The sequence below is a fragment of the Homo sapiens genome, chromosome 18 (genome assembly GCF_000001405.40).
Source record: "Homo sapiens chromosome 18, GRCh38.p14 Primary Assembly".
Classification (NCBI taxonomy): Eukaryota; Metazoa; Chordata; class Mammalia; order Primates; family Hominidae; genus Homo; species Homo sapiens.
The window spans coordinates 53,066,476-53,087,769 of record NC_000018.10 but is presented as its reverse complement, the minus strand read 5'-3'; the positions used below and the strand labels follow the sequence as shown (position 1 = coordinate 53,087,769).

Here is a 21,294-nt window from a genome sequence, read left to right as displayed (position 1 = left end):
AATTCAAGATGGATTAAAGACTTAAACGTTAGACCTAAAACCATAAAAACCCTAGAAGAAAACCTAGGCATTACCATTCAGGACATAGGCATGGGCAAGGACTTCATGTCTAAAACACCAAAAACAATGGCAACAAAAGCCAAAATTGACAAATGGGATCTAACTAAACTCAAGAGCTTCTGCACAGCAAAAGAAACTACCATCAGAGTAAACAGGCAACCTACAAAATGGGAGAAAATTTTCACAACCTACTCATCTGACAAAGGGCTAATATCCAGAATCTACAATGAACTCAAACAAATTTACAAGAAAAAAACAAACAACCCCATCAAAAAGTGGGCGAAGGACATGAACAGACACTTCTCAAAAGAAGACATTTATGCAGCCAAAAAACACATGAAAAGGTGCTCACCATCACTGGCCATCAGAGAAATGCAAATCAAAACCACAATGAGATACCATCTCACAGCAGTTAGAATGGCAATCATTAAAAAGTCAGGAAACAACAGGTGCTGGAGAGGATGTGGAGAAATAGGAACACTTTTACACTGTTGGTGGGACTGTAAACTAGTTCAACCATGGTGGAAGTCAGTGTGGCGATTCTTCATGGATCTAGGACTAGAAATACCATTTGACCCAGCCATCCCATTGCTGGGTATATACCCAAAGGACTATAAATCATGCTGCTATAAAGACACATGCACACGTATGTTTATTGCGGCACTATTCACAACAGCAAAGACTTGGAACCAACGCAAATGTCCAACAATGATAGACTGGATTAAGAAAATGTGGCACATATACACCATGGAATACTATGCCCCCATAAAAAATGATGAGTTCATGTCCTTTGTAGGGACATGGATGAAATTGGAAATCATCATTGTCAGTAAACTATTGCAAGAACAAAAAACCAAACATCACATATTCTCACTCATAGGTGGGAACTGAACAATAAGAACACATGGACACAGGAAGGGGAATACCACACTCTGGGGACTGTTGTGGGGTGGGGGGAGGGGGGAGGGATAGCATTGGGAGATATACCTAATGCTAGATGACGAGTTAGTGGGTGCAGCGCACTAGCATGGCACATGTATACATATGTAACTAACCTGCACATTATGCACATGTACCCTAAAACAAGAAGAAGAAAGAAGAAGAAGAAGAAGAAGAAGAAGAAGGAAGAAGAAGAAAGAAGAAGAAGAAGAAGGAAGAAGAAGAAAGAAGAAGAAGAAGAAGGAAGAAGAAAGAAGAAGAAGAAGAAAGGAAGAAGAAGAAAGAAGAAGAAGAAAGGAAGAAGAAGAAGAAGAAGAAAGGAAGAAGAAGAAGAAGAAGAAAGGAAGAAGAAGAAGAAGAAGAAGAAAGGAAGAAGAAGAAGAAGAAGAAAGGAAGAAGAAGAAGAAGAAGAAGAAAGGAAGAAGAAGAAGAAGAAGAAGAAGAAAGGAAGAAGAAGAAGAAGAAGAAGAAAGGAAGAAGAAGAAGAAGAAGAAAGGAAGAAGAAGAAGAAGAAGAAGAAAGGAAGAAGAAGAAGAAGAACGGAAGAAGAAGAAGGGAAGGAAAGAAGAAAAGAAGAAGAAGAAAAGAAGAAGAAGAGAAGAGGAAGAGAAGAGGAAGAGGAGGAGGAGGAGGAGGAGGAGGAGGAGGAGGAGGAGGAGGAGGAGGAGGAGGAGGAGGAGGAGGAGGAGGAGGAGGAGGAGAGGGAGAAGGAGAAGGAGAAGGAGAGGGAGAGGGAGAGGGAGAGGGAGAGGGAGAAGGAGAAGGAGAAGAAGGAGAAGGAGAAGAAGAAGAAGAAGAAGAAGAAGAAGAAGAGAAAATACTCCACCAAAGCTGAAATGACAGAGGTCTGGATTTTATGTAAGAAACAAAATATTCAATTTTATCCTTCTTAAATGATTCTGTTTGCATTTCACAATTACTGAGACCATAATAACTGAATTTTTTTTGAAGGAGGATCATTTTGACAAACATCTGAAAATGAGTAACTTTGTATGGTCTAAGTTCAAGCCAGCATCACAAAAGTGTAGTTTTGGAGATGGCAGTGATGATTCTACCATCTTCCCACCTGAGAAGTTAGCTTTATATTCCTATTTAAAAAAAAAATGTGCACAAGTAAACAGAAGTCAGCCCTGTAACATAGCATGTTCTATGTTTTAATGGCTTCTCCCTTTGATTAAGTAATATTTCAGCAATTCAGGAAATCCATTATAATAATACCCTGTAGGATTTTTAAGGTAAAAATTTAAGACGGTGACTAGGTGATTTGGGGAGCTTATTTAACCTACAAATTGGAATAATAATTTGGCATTGTTTACTCCAGTTTCTTACACATAAAGAATAATGAGGACAAGGCACTGGTTCCTGACATTTCTCTGTGCTAAGGAACTGGTAAAGATCCTTAATTATTTTAGATGGAAAAAAAAAATCCCTGACTAGGTTTCTAGGTGTGGTTCATACTGGTTTTCTTGCATACATTTTTCTTCTTCTATGTGGTCTTGTTTGTGCTAAATTCTTCCTTTAGATGTTTATTATAACCCTTGGCCTTCACTTATTAATTCCTGCAAAAGCTATTGAATGCACAATCTCTTGTCCTTCAGAACCTGAGGGCAATTCCTTGTGGCTTCCTGGCTTTTGTGTTCTTTCAGTGGGGACTGTTTCCTTCTGTTCTGGAGGCTGGATTCTCTGGGTACCTGGATAATAGGCTTGGCTTTAAATTGTTTGGTGGGCATTCTATGCTTGTAGTAAGAACTATGGGATCCCCTATTTTCATAGTTCCAAAATTCTTCTTGTGAAATATCAAGACAAAGTCCCTTGGCAATGATAGTCCTAGATATAATTTTAAAAATCACTATTTGTTCAACATTGTCCAATTTCTGTAAGAATTTTCCAAAATGATCAGAATGTAGATGCAAAATTAGTGGAAGAATCTTGAATTCAAATTTTGTTTCCTACAGCTGCTATAACAAATCACTGCAAACTCAGTGTCTTCAAATTACATATGTTTGTTATTGTATAGTCTTTGGGTTAGAGGTCTCGCATGTCCTCTAGGCAAAGCTGTATTCCTTTTTGCAGGCTCTAAAGATGAATTCATCTCCTTGCCTTTTCCTACTTAAAGAGGCTGTCCACCCACAGTGCTTGGCTTGTGAGCCCTTGCTCTGTCTTCAAAGCTGGGAACCAGTTAGAAAAGCTGAAACAGAAGATCTGGCAGGGCCTGGAGGAGCAACTGGCTGAGGTATTGCCCTGTCCCAACAAGTGAGCCACCAGAGAGCAGCAACTCATATCCTGCACAAACCTCCCAAAAATAAAAAATAAAAAAGTATAGGTACTTGCAGTGTATTTAATATTTATTTCCTCCAAAACTCATGCTGAAGTTTAATCTCCAATATGGCAGTTTTGCAAGGGAGGGTCCTTTGAGAGATGATTGGGTCATGAGGACAGAGCCATCATCAATTTATTAACTCATTTATAGATTAATGGAATAATAGGTTAATGGATTAATGGGTTATTATAGGAGTAAGGCTGGTGGCTTTGCAAGAACAGGAAGAAACACCTGAGCTAGCACACTTAGCCTCCTTGCCATGTGATGCCCTGAGCCACCTCGGGACTCTGTAAAGAGCCTTCACCAGAAAGAAAGCCTTTACCAGAGCCAGCTCCTAAACGTTGCACTTCTCAGCCTCCATAAATGTAAGAATTGAATTCCTTTTTAAAAATAAATTACCCAGTTTCAAGTTACAAGTAACAGAAAGTGGACTAAGACACTACTCCCTTACATCTATTTGCCTTTTCTGGCCCACACTAACTCAGAACCACAAAGAGAGGGAAATTCGGAGAAAGGTTGTTACAGTTTGACTAAGTTGATACAGTAAAAATCCACCGCATTCATGTTTATCCTTTGATATTCACATGTCTCTGCTACAAAAGAAGGCTGTAAACAATTATTTTTGTTGTTCCTTATAGCTGTTCATTTTATCCCCAAAACTTTGAATATCTGGAAACATAGTAAGGAAATTTGATATGACAACCCCCAAATTTTAATCAGGTCTCTATGCACATGTAAACAAAGAGCTAGATTTTTTCACATGATGCTCTCTAAAGAGAAGTATGCCATCATATTTTTTTTGTATTTGTAGGTCTTGAAATTTATTTTGAATAGCCAAGAGTGTTAAAATGTACTCTTTCTAAAAACTAATGTGCAAGTAATGTTGCAGTTACAGGAAGACCTTTGACTCAGTAATATTTTTCAGAATGTTAACTGTTCCTTAGATGAATCTAACAAATAGTCAACAAAAAGGGGTCTCACAAATTCTTTTAGTATTCTTGACAGCTGTATAAAATGTAGGGGAAACTGACAACATACAGTGTGCACTTTTAATATTGCCAGTGTTCTTTCATGTTGCTAATCATCCAAGCCATACCTGAGGCCTTAGACATCAAAAATTTTACTTATAGCCAATTGAGTCTTTCCCAAGGATACCTGGATACCTCACATTTCTTTTGGCAACAATATATAGAATCTTCTATGTATATCTCATTCATGGTCATCAGTATGCCATCTCTAGCACACCAATTGTCACTCCTATTTGGAACAATCGAAAAACAAAGAATCTGAGCTTTGGGAACAGAAAATTGTATTGAAACAGATAGCAGAGAATAATAGATGTTTTGATGATTATGTTGTTTTTTTGTTTGTTCTGGCCAATAATGACTTGGAAAAATTTGTGGGAGAAATAGCAAAGGTAAAAAAAAAATGACCTTAGAATTGCTCTCTAGTAGAATCTAGCATGAAGAACAAAGTGGGCCAGTGTTACAGTGGTAGGCATATATAAAATTCAGTGAGATGTAGAATTTCAGGATCCACAAAAGGAGGCACAAACTGGAGTCTAGGAATGAGGGAGTGGAGGTAGAACATAGGAGATAGATATTAATGAGGTAGAACATAGAAGATAAATATAAATCCTAGTTAACTAATCCCAGGCCAGAAAAGAAGATATAATAAAGTTAGCATGTGTGTTTTCTGAAGGAAAATAAAACAGATTTATACATACCACGTGGAAACTATAAGAAAGAGACATACTTAGAGGTTTTTAGTAAACAAGAGCTAGTAAATAGATTTAAAACAAAATACCCATAGTTACTAATTTACAATGTATAATGTCATTGCTATTGTCTTCATTTAGCATGGTACTTACTAATTTGTTACTGAACAAAAACAATTATAAAGTCTTCATATATTTATTTTAATTAATCTGGTCCAATTTTTGCCCTGGAGTATTATATTTCTTAACTATCTATTTTCTTAACAGGAAAAGCTCTTTGTATATGACAGTGAAAATTAAGGAAAATAATTTTTTATTATAAAAGTGTTACCCTAAAAGAGAAACTAGTGTGTTAGAGAAAAGGATCTCTTTGAAAAATTAAGTTTTAATCCCCAGGAAAAATGATTAATAATAAAGCTAGATTCAGCCATAACCATATAACAATTTTTGTTATTATGCTTGCAAGGTGAGTTTATAGGTTTCCAAATGTGGATTTATTTATTATATTTAATGTTTTCTCTTTTAAAGTAGAATGATGTTAAAAACCCACAAAACCTGTACATGGCATAAATTGATAAGGACGAGGGTAGTTTAAAGAATACAGTGAAAGCCCCCATTGAAGCTTATGCTGAAATAAAATTTCCATTACTGCTGCATGGGGACCAACGCATTCTCCTTTGACAAGGACAGATTTTAGATTAAGCACTCTTAGATTGTAAATTACCATTCTTGATCGCTGGCCTCCCCCATCTACGGTGCCTTAGAGAAATGGGACAGACTGTGCAAAAGTGTAGCTTTTAAGAGGTAAAACCCTGACCCTTAACTGTCCCCAATTCCCACACCCAAATTTCCATGTTTCAAGGGAAAGAATAGTTATGTGAAGACTGTTTAATTTAAATAGGAATAAGGGACATTATAATTACAAATCTTAGTAGCCATTCCTAGAATGATTGGCTGACACAACAGTCACCATCCATCACCAATTACAATTACACATAATTTGGCCACCCGAGATAGAAAAAGCGGGGGCCTGCTTACAAGCGGTACCTCTGGATTCATCTTCAAACTTGCAAGAAATTTTATTTTACACATTAGCTGTGTACAGTTCAAGCTAAATAATTAATGTTTAAATGAGGCACATGTGACGTTCTTAAACAAGGGAAAAGGAGAAGTGGAGGTTTCACAGAGAGTGGAGGAGGTCTTTTTTTTTTTCTTTTTAATCCTGTCACTCAAAGATAAGACATTATCACTGATACCCAATAGAGACTGCTTTCCCTAGGTGATATCTAGAGATTCTAAATCATTGTTTGGTTTTTGATTTGTGGATTTCAAAAATATTGGAATGATGAAGTGACCATAAGATAGATTTTTTTAAGAAAATTCATTTTTATCAACATGAGTGCACATAGAAGTAGGCCATTCAAACCATAGTACACAGGTGTTTATTTCCTAAAGCAAGCTTACTCTGCAAAATCAATTTGTGAACTCATTACATAAATCCATATTAAACTATTTAGTCTATTTCTAGGTGGCAGAAAGCCAAAGTTAGTCCTTCTAATTTATTTCTCAGTTCTAATCTGTGTCTGCCACAGACAGAGGAAATAAAGAGGGGAGGGGGGGAAAAAGTGATAGTTTTTACCTTCTGATATTTAAGGATTAATCAAATCAATATATTCCAGTCCTGGCAGCGATAGTGCTCAGTGGTTATCTTATGTTAATGCATAACCCTTTAACTCATTATTCCAAGATGGCAGTGCAATGAGTTCCTTTCTCAAAGCTGGGTAAAATATGTCCAGCAAGGAGGAATCATCCCATCAGTAGGAGAATGACTCACTTATACCCTATCAAGGAACTAAAGATGCATGATAAGGCCCTGTCACACTCTCCCTTAAGCTTTTCATTACCATCAGCAATGCCAATAACTTACAGAATTCCCAGTCAGCATCAAAAGCTCCTTTTCAATTCAAATGCAAACTGCTAACCGTTTCCTCTTCCATATAATTCTTTGAATTAATCATTCTCTCCATGAGCAGAGTTGCCACTCAGTTTAGGCCATAATTATTTCCCTCTGGAGATACTACAAAATATTCTGCATTCATCTGTCCTCCTGCTCTGATCTAACACACAAAGCAAAATATGCTTTTCAGTAAGCCTACTAGTTTTGCCTATTTTGATTATAAATTTCTCAATTGCATGTTTTGGAGTCTTTGGGATATTTACTTCCTTTGCTTCACCTTTTACAATATCATAGTTTATACCTGGCATTATCAATTAATCAGTAAAACAAAGTATTTGCCTTTTAGGCTTCCTAATGAGTCATTGAGAGTCTGTCATTGTCAGGCCCTTTACTCCTGCTGGAAATACAAAGATGATCAAGACATGGGCCTTCAAAGGACTCAGAATCCAGGCTCTTTCTGTGGAGATGGACTTAAGTCATTCTTCCTCTTTCTTAAGTGATGGCTTTACCATCCATTCAGTTAAGTCAAGAATTTAGGAAACAGCCCCAATTCCTAATCCACCTGCACATATTCATCTCAATCTCCAATCTGTCAGGACCTTCTAATACATTAACTCACTCTTCTTGCACAGTTGAGGTCAATGACCTCATTCTCTCTTGCTTAGCCTACTGATGATACAGCTTTCCAACTAGTTTCAATATTTCTAGTCCCTCTTTCTACCACTGCCAACTCACACAGCTTCCAAAGTTATCTTTAAAAAACAGAAATAGAAGCAAGCCTATCTTTTACATTTAGCCATCCCTATCCCACATAGTCTAGACAAAAAGTCCAATTTTCTTTGTATATTCTAAAAGATACTCTGTGATCCAGCCCCTGCATATCTCTACAGCCTTACAGAACCACACATAATTCACTGAATACATACTTTTGCTTCTGCTCTATGCTCCCATGTGTTGTATGTAATGTTTCTTCTACCAGCAATTTCTTTGCCCTTCTTGGCAGCTTGGCCAAACCACATCCCTACTTCAAAGTCCATTTCAACTCAGATGTCACATCTTCAGCAATGAATTCCTCTTCCCATTGAAAGAGTTGTTTAAGTTCTCCTTTGTGCTATCTCCTTTTTCTTACCCCTATATCTTGCACTTAAATATTCCTGGGATTCAAAATAAATTTGTTCTATGCCAAACTTCCCTATTAGACTAAGGGCTTAAGCATCCACTTAACACGTGCATTCAGAAAGTAGAAATAACTTTTTCTAGGATGTTTCATGTGCAAAGTAACTACATCATTAGTATGAGGTTTTAGTGTTGTTATTTTTCTTGATCTAGAAAAGCAAAAAGATATTTACCATTTTTATCAGTTGAATTTCCCCAAGGGTCATCTGTTTCTATATAAGCAAGCGTATTAAAGAAGATCTAAAATATTTTATCAAAATTGGGCTCAAAGCCTCACATTAAATAATGAGAAGTAAGGCTCAAGTATAACAAGAAAGCAGGTGGTCTACGTGTCAAAAATTGGACATGGAATTCATGAGATCAAAAGACTTATGTATAGGCTACCAATTCTCTTCTCCATTCTTTTTTCCATTTATGAAATCAAGAAGACAAGGCAAGGGAGGAATATGAAATAAGCTACATAGTACTTTTATTCCCTTTTCCTTACAACTAAGTGCCATACTGTTAGGAGAAAATCACTTAAAGAAAGAATCAGTCTTCCTTGTTCAAAACAGTTTGTTCTGCTTTGGTACATTTTCATACAACTCAGGCGATGTCTGCCAGAACTGAACACATCAGTTCTGATTAGCAGGTAGGTCAACTTAAATAGGAACTGGACCTGAAGAATACCAAGAAATATGGGAAACTGGCTTTTCTGTTGGACTTTTCTTGCTTTATAATGACGTGTGTTTTAATTTGAGGATGGGGCATTTTAATTTCAAGTGAATTTTCTCACATTCATCATAGACGATCATCTAGATGAAAAAATTTATTTTGTCAATGTTTCAGGGAAAGTTAGGGTCACCTATAGATTCTTGGTATATATTTGTCAACACAAAATAACAAAGACAGCTGTGCATTGCCTATACTATTTAGGCTGATTAATTATTGTTTGATGGAACTACATTATAAGCTAAAGAACTCTGAATAGATACTTTAAATAAAAAAATATTATTTCTCTTTTTTTTAACCTAGATTGTAACCTAGACCTTTTCACTTAAACAAAATAGAACAATAAGTGAAGGAGCTTTTCAATACAATAGAAGCTTTGTCATTCTGTGTGGCAAATGACACTACCATCCTCGTAAGATAGGGTCAAACCCAAAAAATAGTATGTCAGGCACTGGCTGTGTTATGTTTGAGGAGTATTAAGACTAACTTTAAAGACTTAATGTTTCTTTGAATTGTATCTAACATCTCTCATTTGTGATTCTTTGTTAAAAAATCAATATCTAGGTAAAATTTATTTATGTATTTACTTACTTGCTTATGAGACAGGGTCTTGCTCTGTTGCCCAGGCTGGAGTGCAGTGGCCCCATCATATTTCACTGCAGTCTCAAACTTCCGAGATCAAGTGCTCCTCCCATCTCAATCTCCCAAGTAGCTGGGACTGCAAGTGCATATCACAACACTCTAATTTGTGATTCCTTATATATTTCTGGGTACTCGATAAATATTGAATAATGAATATAGCATTGCAAATCACTATGCTTTAATTGCATTTGATAATTAAGATTAGTTATATCGAATTTACTCTTTGTTAAACTATGGATTTCTGGATAGCAACAATTATGTGATATTCACCTCAAGACGGTTCACACATTTAACCCACACTTAGCAATGGGCCCTATCATATTGGAAAGTTGAACAGAGATCATTTGAGTGGCAGAATCCTAGACTTTAAAAATTAATTTCCAGTGTTTAACCTTTATTAGTAATTCTAAAACTAGTCTGATTAGACTCAAATAAACCTGAAATATCACCCATTTATCTGAGAAGCCTCCATGTGTGGACAAAGCCTGGGTAGACAGACCCATTATAACACAATGGCTGAGAAAGTAGGCTGAAAAGTCAGATGTTTTGCTAGCTGTGTGACCTTGGACAAGTTAGTTAACTTTTCTGTGCAGCAGTTTCCCTACTCACAAAGTAAGAGAAAAATAACCATGGGAGAGTCCACTGACCAGAACTGCTCATCATACCCTGGCTTCTCTGAGATGCACCAAGTTATAAGGTCAGACAGGACCATCATCAGTTCATGGGGTGAATTACATTTGGCATCAGGGAAAAACGGGACCAGAGGACATAACAGGAGGGGCCCAGACCTCCATGTTTTCAATCACTATTGTACAACTACCTTCCCCTTTAACTCACACTTATGACCAGGTGGTCAGCTTGGTCTGTGGGTATGTGGGTACACCCCAAATTGGATGGCTGCTACACTGCAGCTCAGTGAGGGATAGCCCCAAAAGAAAGTGGTAAAGAGAACCTTTCCCAAGGTAGAATGTTGAGTATACCACACCACCTACTTTATATGAAATTATAAATGGCTCAAGGTAGGACTATATATATATATATACATGTGAACAAGGTCAAATAGCTTGGCTGATTGGCCAATGATGGAAAGATCAGGAACAAAAAGGTTTGGGGAAAAGACATGTTGATAGGCCCACAGGAATGAACACCAAGTTAAAAAAAAATCTTTGAATCCCCTGTAAACACCAGATTGTATAATTTATGGAAGAGTCACTAAGCAATTATGTAGATGGAACAATTCAGCCTGTTGACATCAGCCAGCATCCAATGGTGGCATAAAGGTGCACAAATGATAAGGCTACAGAGGCAAGAATGGAGCCTATGCATTGCTCACTGGCATGGGCTCTAATCCTACATGGTTTCTGCTACTCACCAGAAGCTGCCACCACTGCTGTATGCCCAATCTCCTAGCAACAGAGACACATGCTGAGCTCCCAACAAATCACTATTCCTTAAGAAAACCAACTAGTCTCTGGGTGACATATTTACTTGGATGACTTCTCTTCTGAAAAGGTTAGAAATTCATCTTGACTGAAATAAACACATATTCTGGAAATGGGTTGCTTTTCCTATTCTCAGGGCTTCTACCGGCACCACCATCTCAGACTCACAAAGTATTTGAGACCAACATGGAATCCCTCATTATATTGAAAAGAATCAAATAACTTACTCTACAGAAAAAGAGGTATAGGCATAAATGCATTGCCACGGGATCTACTAATCCTATCACATATCAACAACAGCTGCTGACTTGATACAGCCAAAGTAAAGCCTTCAGAGGTGGAATTAAGGAGCCAGGCTGGAGACCATACCCTAAGCAAAAGGGATACCTTTTTCTAGGGTCTAGTATATGTCTAGATCAATGGCCAGTATATGGTACCATGTCCTCAATAGGTAGACTAAACAAACACAAGAGATTAAAGTAGGTATGAAACTGCTTACCATGACTCCCAGTGACCCATTTGGAGAATCTCTGTTTACCATCCCTATGACTCTAGGCTTGTAGACTCAGAAGTCCTAATTCACAAAGGAGGAATGCTTCTATCATTGAAATTTGAGCTATTGCTGCTGCCTTGTTGTATCATACGTCTTGTGCCAAAATACCAGCAGGCAAGGCAGGATACTATCCTGGCAAAATAATTGCCCAGGTCATTAAGAGGAGTTGGGAAAGAAGGAAAATATGATTGGCATTCTGATGATCTACTGGAGTATCTGTTGATACTCCCTTCCCCAATTTTGATCATGTATTGGCTAGTACAGCATATATGACCAGTAAAGGGACAGGAATTTGGGTAAGCCACAGAAACTAGCAGAGATGCTAGCTGAGAGTAAGAGGAATTTACAGCGGGTAGCAGGAGGGAAATAGTACCAATTGCAGCCTTGAGACCAGTTGCAGTTGCACTGGTGGGGGTTACAGTTCATCTCATTAACCTTCTTCTTTTCCCCAGGAAATAAGACTTCTCTAATCAAAAGGAATATATATCTCTTTCTGTGTATACATATAAGCACAGCATCTACATACTATATAATCTATATGTATGTATGTTTTGTGTGCACTCGCACATCTTTCATCAAATGGTGATATACAGGTGAAAGATAAAAATATAACAAATTCAAAGTCAAAATCATTTGGATTCAATATAAAAACCAGCATTCTTCTCTTCCGCTTTTTCTACTCTAGAGAGCTAAAAAAAAAAAAAAAAAATGGGATAACACTCTGGTATATTTACCACTGAAGTATGATGTGATCAATATTTATGAATCTATCAAGTTTTCCATATTGTATGGATTTATTATTATCACTGGTCTCAGTACATTCATATTACTGCAGAATTCATTTCTAATTTCAAAGTCTGCCATACAGCCATATCCTCTTGATTAGCACTGAGCTGGCTTCCTACCTGAAGCACGTGCTGAATGAAGGACAAGGTGAATGACAAGCCTTTATTTGCTGAGAAACCTCTGCCTACATAAAACTGGCATGAGCAAGTCATTATTAAACTGATACTGCAAACCGTGCTGCAAATCTTTCAACTAGCAGTCATTTTGAAAAAGGACTTTTCCCTTAACCTTGTCCACTAGGCTAAAAACCTAAATTTTGAATGGACATTGTCATTAAAATATGTGTTTACTAATTATTTTCTTGTAGGGTAGAAAAATATGCTAGAAGAAAGCTATCATTTTATCCATCCCAATAAATGCCTGCTATTTTTCTTGAGACTAAACAAAACCAACAAAAGACTTCATAATAGCTAACATTTGTGTGGCAATTTACAGCCCACAAATCCCTTTTACAAACATTTATTGCACTAAATCTTTGAGACAATTATCTACTGAATTTTACAGCTGAAGAAATAGAGACTTGGAAAGGTTAGGCAATATTGCCTAAGAATCTCTTCATAAATATACACTATATTCCAATACATTTTTAAATCTCTACAAGTAAACTGGATAAGAGTGTAGAAATGAGATGTGGACACATCTCATACACTAGGTGAGTATTATATGGTCAAAGATCAAATGACTGCTTTATGCCAAACTTAGATTATCAATGAATCACTCAGGGAAAATGTTAGCATGGGTGTCAACATTTCTCTAACGGGAGGGAGACTTTGAAGTAGAAAATAAAAAAAAATACATTACTATTCTCTTATTTTTAACTTTATAAGCAAAAATAATTTTACAATTTATTGAATAAATGTACCATCAGATATGCTGAAGTTAACAAAGCCACTTTGAAAAAACTTGGCTCTGTATCTTCTTAGCTACAATTAATTACCAAGGCTTATAAAGGAAAACGTTCTAGGGAAGCTTATGAGCTATAATATCACTGCAATATGTTTCAAAAATATTAAGTTGCACTTTTATGCATTTGGACCAATGATGGAACTTTAAAGAGGAATTTTGTAGTGTTAACGAGCATCTCTGTTTGTGTGAGGAAACTATAAGGACCCATTTACCTGCTTGGGTCGGTTAACATTGTAGTATGGCACATGAAATTGGCTCTTCTAGATTAGTTACAGAACTCCAGGGACAATTTGATCCTACACTAAACACAATGAAACAGTTAAATCATAGTAACTTTTCTCATATAAGAGACAAAATTTAACTTAATTCTCCACCAGTAGTTAATATCAAAGTAAGAAGTACAGCCCTTTAGATTCAATCTCTCATACGTAGTTGCTTAGGTGCTATTACACTGAAAAAGTAAATTCTAATAGATCTTAATAATTGAACTAATTATTCAATGTTCATTGCTTCACACTGAATCTCAGTGAAGTTAGTATGTCAGAATCAACATGTAGTAGGAAACACTATAATTATAATGTAATTATATTATAATATATATACAATTTTATTAGTATATTCCTTTTGTCCATTTGGATTTCTAGGTATTCTTCTTATATTGATAAGGAACAACTCATGAAAACAGATATAAAATACTTCTGGTTTTACGTCTTGATGTTCATGATTGACTCTTCTGAATTCCAAGCTATATGATATACTGACTTAATAAAATGTTTAAAATTCAACATCATTTGTAATCAGTAACCTTTTCCAGGGGAGGACAGATAATTGATAATGCTTCTCATTTTTCTAAACGTCTAACCAATATATTTCCCCTACTACAGTGAAACTATTTTTTTTAACCAATGTTAGAGGGAAAAAAATAAAACCAGCATTTATTTTTTTATTCTTCATTATTATTATCATTATTATTTTGAGACGGAGTCTCGCTCTGTCACCCAGGCTGGAGTGCAGTGGTGCTATCTCGGCTCACTGCAAGCTCCGCCCCCCAGGTTTCATACCATTCTCCTGCCTCAGCCTCCCAAGTAGCTGGGACTATAGGCACCCGCCACCACGCCCGGCTAACTTTTTGTATTTTTAGTAGAGATGAGGTTTCACCGTGTTAGCCAGGATGGTCTCGATCTCCTGACCTAGTGATCTGCCTGCCTTGGCCTCCCAAAGTGCTGTGATTACAGGCCTGAGCCACCGCGCCGGGCCTATTTTTATTTTTTTTTATTTGTCTTCCTCTTCCAATAAAAACGTGATTATTTTTTAAAGTGGGAAATTTATCTCTTTTTCTATTTTCAATTTACTTTCCCCAATAGCAGATAGTAGGCCTACAAAAATATTTGACAAATGAATAAAAGAAACCATGCTTGCTTAAAAGCAGGTGTATATCTTAGATGAAGGAAGATCAAATGTGCAGATTACATTTATTGAGCAGTTACTATGTGGTAGATGTGATATGTGTCTTGCTTACATTATTCTGATTTAATTCTCCCATCAAATTGATGGCATAGATAGTACTATCCACATTTTGCAGGATATAATATTAAGGCTTGGAGTTAAGTGTCTGGCCTAATGTCACACAGCTAATATATGATAGAGCTGTGATTTGTACTTAAATTGACTCCAAAGTCTGTGCTCTGTCTACTCCACCACACAGCCAAATATGCAATATTAACATAAGACATAGACCCTATATCTTGCCCAAGCAAACCAACATTTTGGGAAATATCTATAATAGCATTTATTCTTGTTATGATTATATGGATTTTTCCCACAGCCATTTTGTGCATGGTAGAATATAATGAATACATTATTTCTTCCCATGGCAACTTTATTCTGTCTTCACGCATTTATGCCACTATATTAAACACATCCCAGACTACGTATGCCCCTATCGTAGGTGCATTCCCAGTTCCACGGCCCTCCACTTCCCTGCTCAGCAGTCAGGTACTTCCAACAACCTTCCGCTGCAGACACTGTCAGAAAACGGAATGCCATGCAACATCTAGAACCAGGATAAGAAACTCAGAGATAACTAATATCTTAAATTCATCTTATTATTTGTTCCTGCCTTGCTCCCCATCTCCTGCTCCCCAGCTCCAGATAATTGCTAACTTCTCCACTCAGCTACCAAACAGGGTCCTTAATTTAATTACTGCCTACCTGCACTACAATTTATTGGATGGTAACATGGGAGTAATTAATTTATCACCATCCAGTATGCCAATGGGATCCTAACTTATTGCTTACCTGTTTGCAACTCTGGCTACTGAAACTTCTTATTCTTGTAACACAGAACACATTGACTCTTTTTTTTTCTTCTTGAGATGGAGTCTCACTCTGCTGCCCAGGCTGGAGTTCAGTAGCTTGATCTTGGCTCACTGTAATCTCTGCCCTCCGGGTTCAACTGATTGTCCTGGCCTCAGCCTCCCAAGTAGCTGGGATTACAGGCATGTGTCACCATGCCCAACTAATTTTGTATTTTTAGTAGAGATGGGGTTTCTCCATGTTGGCCAGTTTGGTCTCAAACTCCTGACCTCAGGTGATCTGCCCACCTTGTCCTCCCAAGGTGCTGGGATTACAGGCGTGAGCCACTGCACCCAGTCCTAACACATTGATTCTTAACCCATTTTTTGCTAGACTATTCACTGAATAGTATACTTGCAGTAATAATGTCTTATTTAGAAAGGAGACTTCTTAGCCAACATCCTGCCCTCCCCTTCAAAAATTAATTAAAACAAACAACAATAAAACTCTGTCCCCAGATCTAAGGAGAGATTAATAAACAATACACATCATATAAATCAACTAAACTGAATTAACTTTCCATCACACTGCTTACATAATATGGCTCCATATTTTTAATGTAATATATGCAAAGTCTCATGTGTGCAGGAATCCATCCTCTATTTGTGCATGTGTTCTATAGAGAGAGACAGAAAATAAATAATTGCATAGATAGCACTGTGTGTATGGCATTATGTTACTTATGTACCATTATTGATAGAACCTCCTGTAGTGTAACGATTTTTAAAAACACCATTGATCTTCTTGATTTTAATCTTGATCTTTATCTAGAGGAAACCGTGTATACATTTCACATTTGAAAATGCATACATTTCAAATATTTTTCCCTAGCATTTTCTGGAGAGAAAAACAAGTCATTCACTCAATTTAATTCAGCAGATTATGTTCATTTTATTTCCTAAGTCACTAACTGCTAAAGAGGGAATAGGTAACTATATATAAAAGACTATGTTGAAACTTCATTAGGCTTATGTAAATATCCGACAACTACAGACACTGGCTCAAATAGGTCATTGTCTGTACTCCAGCGAGAAGCAGATTGTTATGGTTGCCAAGAGTAACTCTCAGCCACAAGCCCCTGTGGACAGGCTAAAGCTGAACAGCTGGGTAATGCACGCCCACAATGTACTTCAAAATATATGGTGACCGTTTATTGTCAAAACTTAAACAGAGAGGGCTATGTTCTTCCCACCATGGTCAGCCTCATTGCTTAATTTATAGCTGGCCTCTCTACCATCTGTGCACGCGGCCTGTGCTGCATCTCTGAGGAATTGGAGTGGCATTCTTTGAAGACCTGATTAAATAGCCAGGAAAAAGCAATCCATCATGTGTAAGGGGGAAATATAAGACAGTCACAATGGTGTCCTGTCACGCTTTCGGATTTTTATCTTCATTTTCTTTTACTTTCTTTTGAATCCAATGCCAAATACAATAAACAACGACCAAGAGAGTAGATGCCACTGACAACACTCTACCATCTAGATGGAAAATAAATGAATTTTCAAGATTTTCCTGGGCTCTAGTGAGGAGTTAAACGCCATTTCTGCTCAGGAGAGCCTTGACACTTTATGGTCACATAGACCTAAACAAATCAGGGCCCAAGTGGAATGCAAGATACCATGAATTAAAGGCTACCTGTAGAGTTCCTGGGAGAAGTGAAATTGAACATCTATAATGGGTTGACTGAATAAGCTCAACTATTGGAAATTAGAAGGAAATAGCTTTTTATTTTTCTGCTGTCATCCGTCTTCAAACACACACTGTCAGCTCTGTCTTCCCAACCCTGATTGTAACTTGGGTCCATCCTCTGGCCCTGGGGTGAGGTAAGTATTTAAAAGCCCTTATTGGCTGGGTGCAGTGGCTCAGGCCTGTAATCCCAGCACTTTGTGAGGCCGAGACAGGTGGATCACCTGAGGTCAGGAGTTCGAGACCAGCCTGGCTAATCTGGTGAAACCCTGTCTCTATTAAAAAATACCAATAAATAAATAAACAAATAAAATTAGCTGGGCTTGGTGGTGGATGCCTGTAATCCCAGCTACTCAGGAGGCTGAGACAGGAGAATCACTTGAACCTGGGAGGCGGAGGTTGCAGTGAGCCAGGATTGTGCCATTGCACTCCAGCATGGGAGACAGAGTGAGATTCTGTCTCAAAAAAAAAAAAAAGCTTTATCTTCAGGTATTCAAAAACAAAACAAACAGAACTCCACACAATAACAACCCCCCCCAACCCCACAACACACAAACACCTCAATGAGATCTAAATTAAAATATTCAACTAATAATTTAAAATTTCTTTCCATCTCTCAAAGCAAGTGTAGATTGTAAATAGGGAAGGGGGCAGTAGGACTGCCTATCATCTGTGTTTCAGTCTCTCAGGTCGCTTCTCCCTTCTATTTAGGGCTTCCTCAGGGTCAGAGAGGGGAGGATGGATTTGGAATAAAGAGACAAAGACTGTTTTTCTCAGCTTGTCCTTTCAAAAGTCCACACTCATGGAAGGTTTCTGCAAGCTTCTTTTTTTTTTTTTTTGTTTTTGTGGAGCAGTTCTGTGAGTTCTTCAGAAAATCCCCACCTTAGAAATGCAGTCACTGGACCCCTGCTGGAGTTGGCAAAGCACTCTCTGGCTGACCTGCGCCACCCTCCTAGCTCAGCTCCATCCAGGCGCCATCACTCTAGTGTCTTGGTTGGCACAGCCTCAGCAGACAGGACCTCTTGGGAAAAGTCCTTTCAAGAAACCTTCAGCCTTGCCTTCTTCAAGTGGAACTGACACCCTTGTTCTTCTCAAGGGTCGAAATAGAGCTTCTTCTTAATGTTGTCCTCTCCTTTCTCTTCCCTGCATTGTGGACAGCTCCAGGTGGTTTCCAGCCAGTGTGGAGGCGAAAGCAACTCCATCTTGGAAGCTAATCCACCATGTTTGTTGGCTTCTGATTAACCCCTCTTCTGGGAAGGCCTCTAAGATTTCCTGTTTATCAATTTTCCTTGTGTAACAGCAGGTACTTACCATAAATCCTGCCATTAGGTCAGAAAACTTTGGTGTTACTGTACTTCCATCATCTCACACTTCCCTTCAAAACCACTTCTCCCCATGGTATATAAGCCCTCGGTCTGGGGGCTAGTGGCATCCCCATGCCACCATGTTGTCTCAGCACTGCCAGAGACACAGATATGGCTCCTGTTCATAAGTCCCTATTAAGTATTTCTAAGAAACTAGATTTGTCAGCCTCTTTCTTTGGTCTCTCAGCTTCCTCAGACACTGGGGGCAGGTTTGTATAGACCATGAAATAGCAGAATAAAGTTGCCCATTTCCCATTTTTGCAATCAGTCCCCAGCAACACACACACACATACACATACACACACACACACACACACACACACAGTCTAAAAGGTTTTCTTGGAGTCTGTATAACTTGGCTGGTACAGGAGAGAAAATACCATGACAACCTCTCATCCTATGAATTCTAGCACTTCAAAGAATCCTCCCTCCCTGTGAGCAGGTACAGGGATGCTCACTGGACTTCTTTGGTCAGTGCCAAGTGCTAGGAGGATACATCTTACACCTCCTTTAGAAACACGAAGTCACTTATCTTGCATTGTCATCAGCTTTATGGCCTTAGCTGAAAAATCAAACTCACCTACAATTCTCCTGTTCTGTGACTGGCGTAGCAGCCAATATCAGCTTAAAGGCACCCATACTTTTGTTACTAATGATATGGTACAGTTTGTGGGGTGGGGGGAGGGAGAGGGATAGCATTAGGAGATACATCTAATGCTAAATGACGAGTTAATGGGTGCAGCACACCAGCATGGCACATGTATACATATGTAACTAACCGGCACATTATGCACATGTACCCTAAAACTTAAAGTATAATAATAATAAAATTAAAAGAAAAAAAGTGTGGCTCACATTAGAGACCCTGATTTTAAAGGTTCCTTTTCTCCTACTTATGCATTACTAGTTCAGCAGAAAATAATATACTTAGTCACACCAATGAAGTTACACTGACACTTAAGCACATCAAATGGAGGGAAAAGAAGTCCATCAGAGAAACTGGTGATCTTGAGCCAGAGTTAATTGCTCCTTTTAATTCCTACATAGTTCCTTTAGCTTCTTGACTCATCTGGTATTGTTGTTCTATAGTTATTTTATTTTTATTTCAATCAAGGAAATAGGAGAAAGTCATCTTTGTGAGCACTGCTGTGAATCTTCAGCTAACTGGCTGGGGTGCATACAATATAAGGACTTAATAGGCACATTTTAAATGATAAAAGCCAGAGAAAGACTATGTCTTATATGCTTTTCCTACTTTCTATTAAACTTACTTCAGGAAAAGATTAACACAAAAGCGAGCCATGTCAAAAGGAAGAAAACTGGTCCAAAAGAGTTGAAATGTATGTAACATGATAGATAACTCTTTATGGGAGATATTAACATTTTGAAGTATTTGGATCTGTATTAACAACTGTCTTGTCCCTGTTTTAAACTTCTTTAATCATTTCAGAGCAGCAGGATGGTTCTTTTGTTTTTATTTTTGTCTCTCCTCCCAAGAAATTGTGTTGTTATAGAGCTGTTACATGACAGGTCTAGTATCAATTTATTCTAGTTTTTGTTTTGTTGTGTTTTTTGTGACAGAGTCTTGCTCTGTTGCCCAGGTTGTAGTGCAGTAGTGTGATCATAGCTCACTGCAGCCTCAACACCCTGGGCTCAAACGATTGTTCTGCTTCAGCCTCCCAAGTAGCTGGACTACAGGTGGCTGCCTGTTTTTAAATATATATTTTTTTTATTTTCAGTAGAGACAAAGTCTTGCCATGTTGTCCAGATTGGTCTCAAATTCCTGGTCTCAAGCCATCCTCACCCCTTGGCCTCCCAAAAAGCTGGAATTACAGGCATGAGCCACTGTGCCCGGACTTATACTAGAATTCTGTAATTCAGCAATATATTAAGCTTCCAAAAGACTATAAAACAAAATGACATTTTTTGCAATTATAATTAAAAAGAGTAATTTTTCAAGATCCTTTTGATATGGTCTGAATCTGTGTCCCCACCAAACTCTCATGTCTAATTGCAATCCCCAGTGTTGGAGGTGGGGCCTGGTTGGGGGTGATTAGATCACAGGGGCAGATTTCCCTGCTGGTAGTGTTCTCCTGATAGTGACTGAGTTCTCATGAGATCTGGTTGTTTAAAAGTGTGTAGCACTTCCCCCTCTTTCTCTGTTTCTCCTGCACCAGCCACATAAGATGCACTTGCTGCCCCTTCGCCTTCCGCCATAATCTCAAGTTTCCTGAGGCCTCCCCAGAAGCCCAGCAGATGGCCAGCATCATGCTTCCTATACAGCCTGTGGAACCATGAGCCAATTAAACCTCTTTTCTTTATAAATTACCCAGTCTCAGATATTTCTCTATAGCAGTGGAGAACAGACTAATACACTAATTAACTTCCATTGATTCAAGATTACATATAAGAAAATATGTACAGTCCTTATGTATATATATTTATAGATATGTGTGTACGTATATATGCACATATATAACTAAAATATACACCTAACATATATGCAAGGTATATATTATATATTTTATATTTAAATGGAATGCTGGGAAGAAAGGCAGGCCACAAAAGAGGGAGAAGGTAATAATTTAGTGGTTATTGCCTTGAAAAGCAGAGGCCCTAT

The 21,294-nt window shown here is 37.9% G+C and overlaps 1 protein-coding gene across 5 annotated transcripts in view; it reads right to left on the bottom strand.

Annotated features, from left to right (window-relative positions):
• DCC (DCC netrin 1 receptor) overlaps positions 1–21,294 on the bottom strand; it is a 1,195,703-nt gene that overhangs the window by 448,130 nt on the left and 726,279 nt on the right. The window lies entirely within an intron of this gene.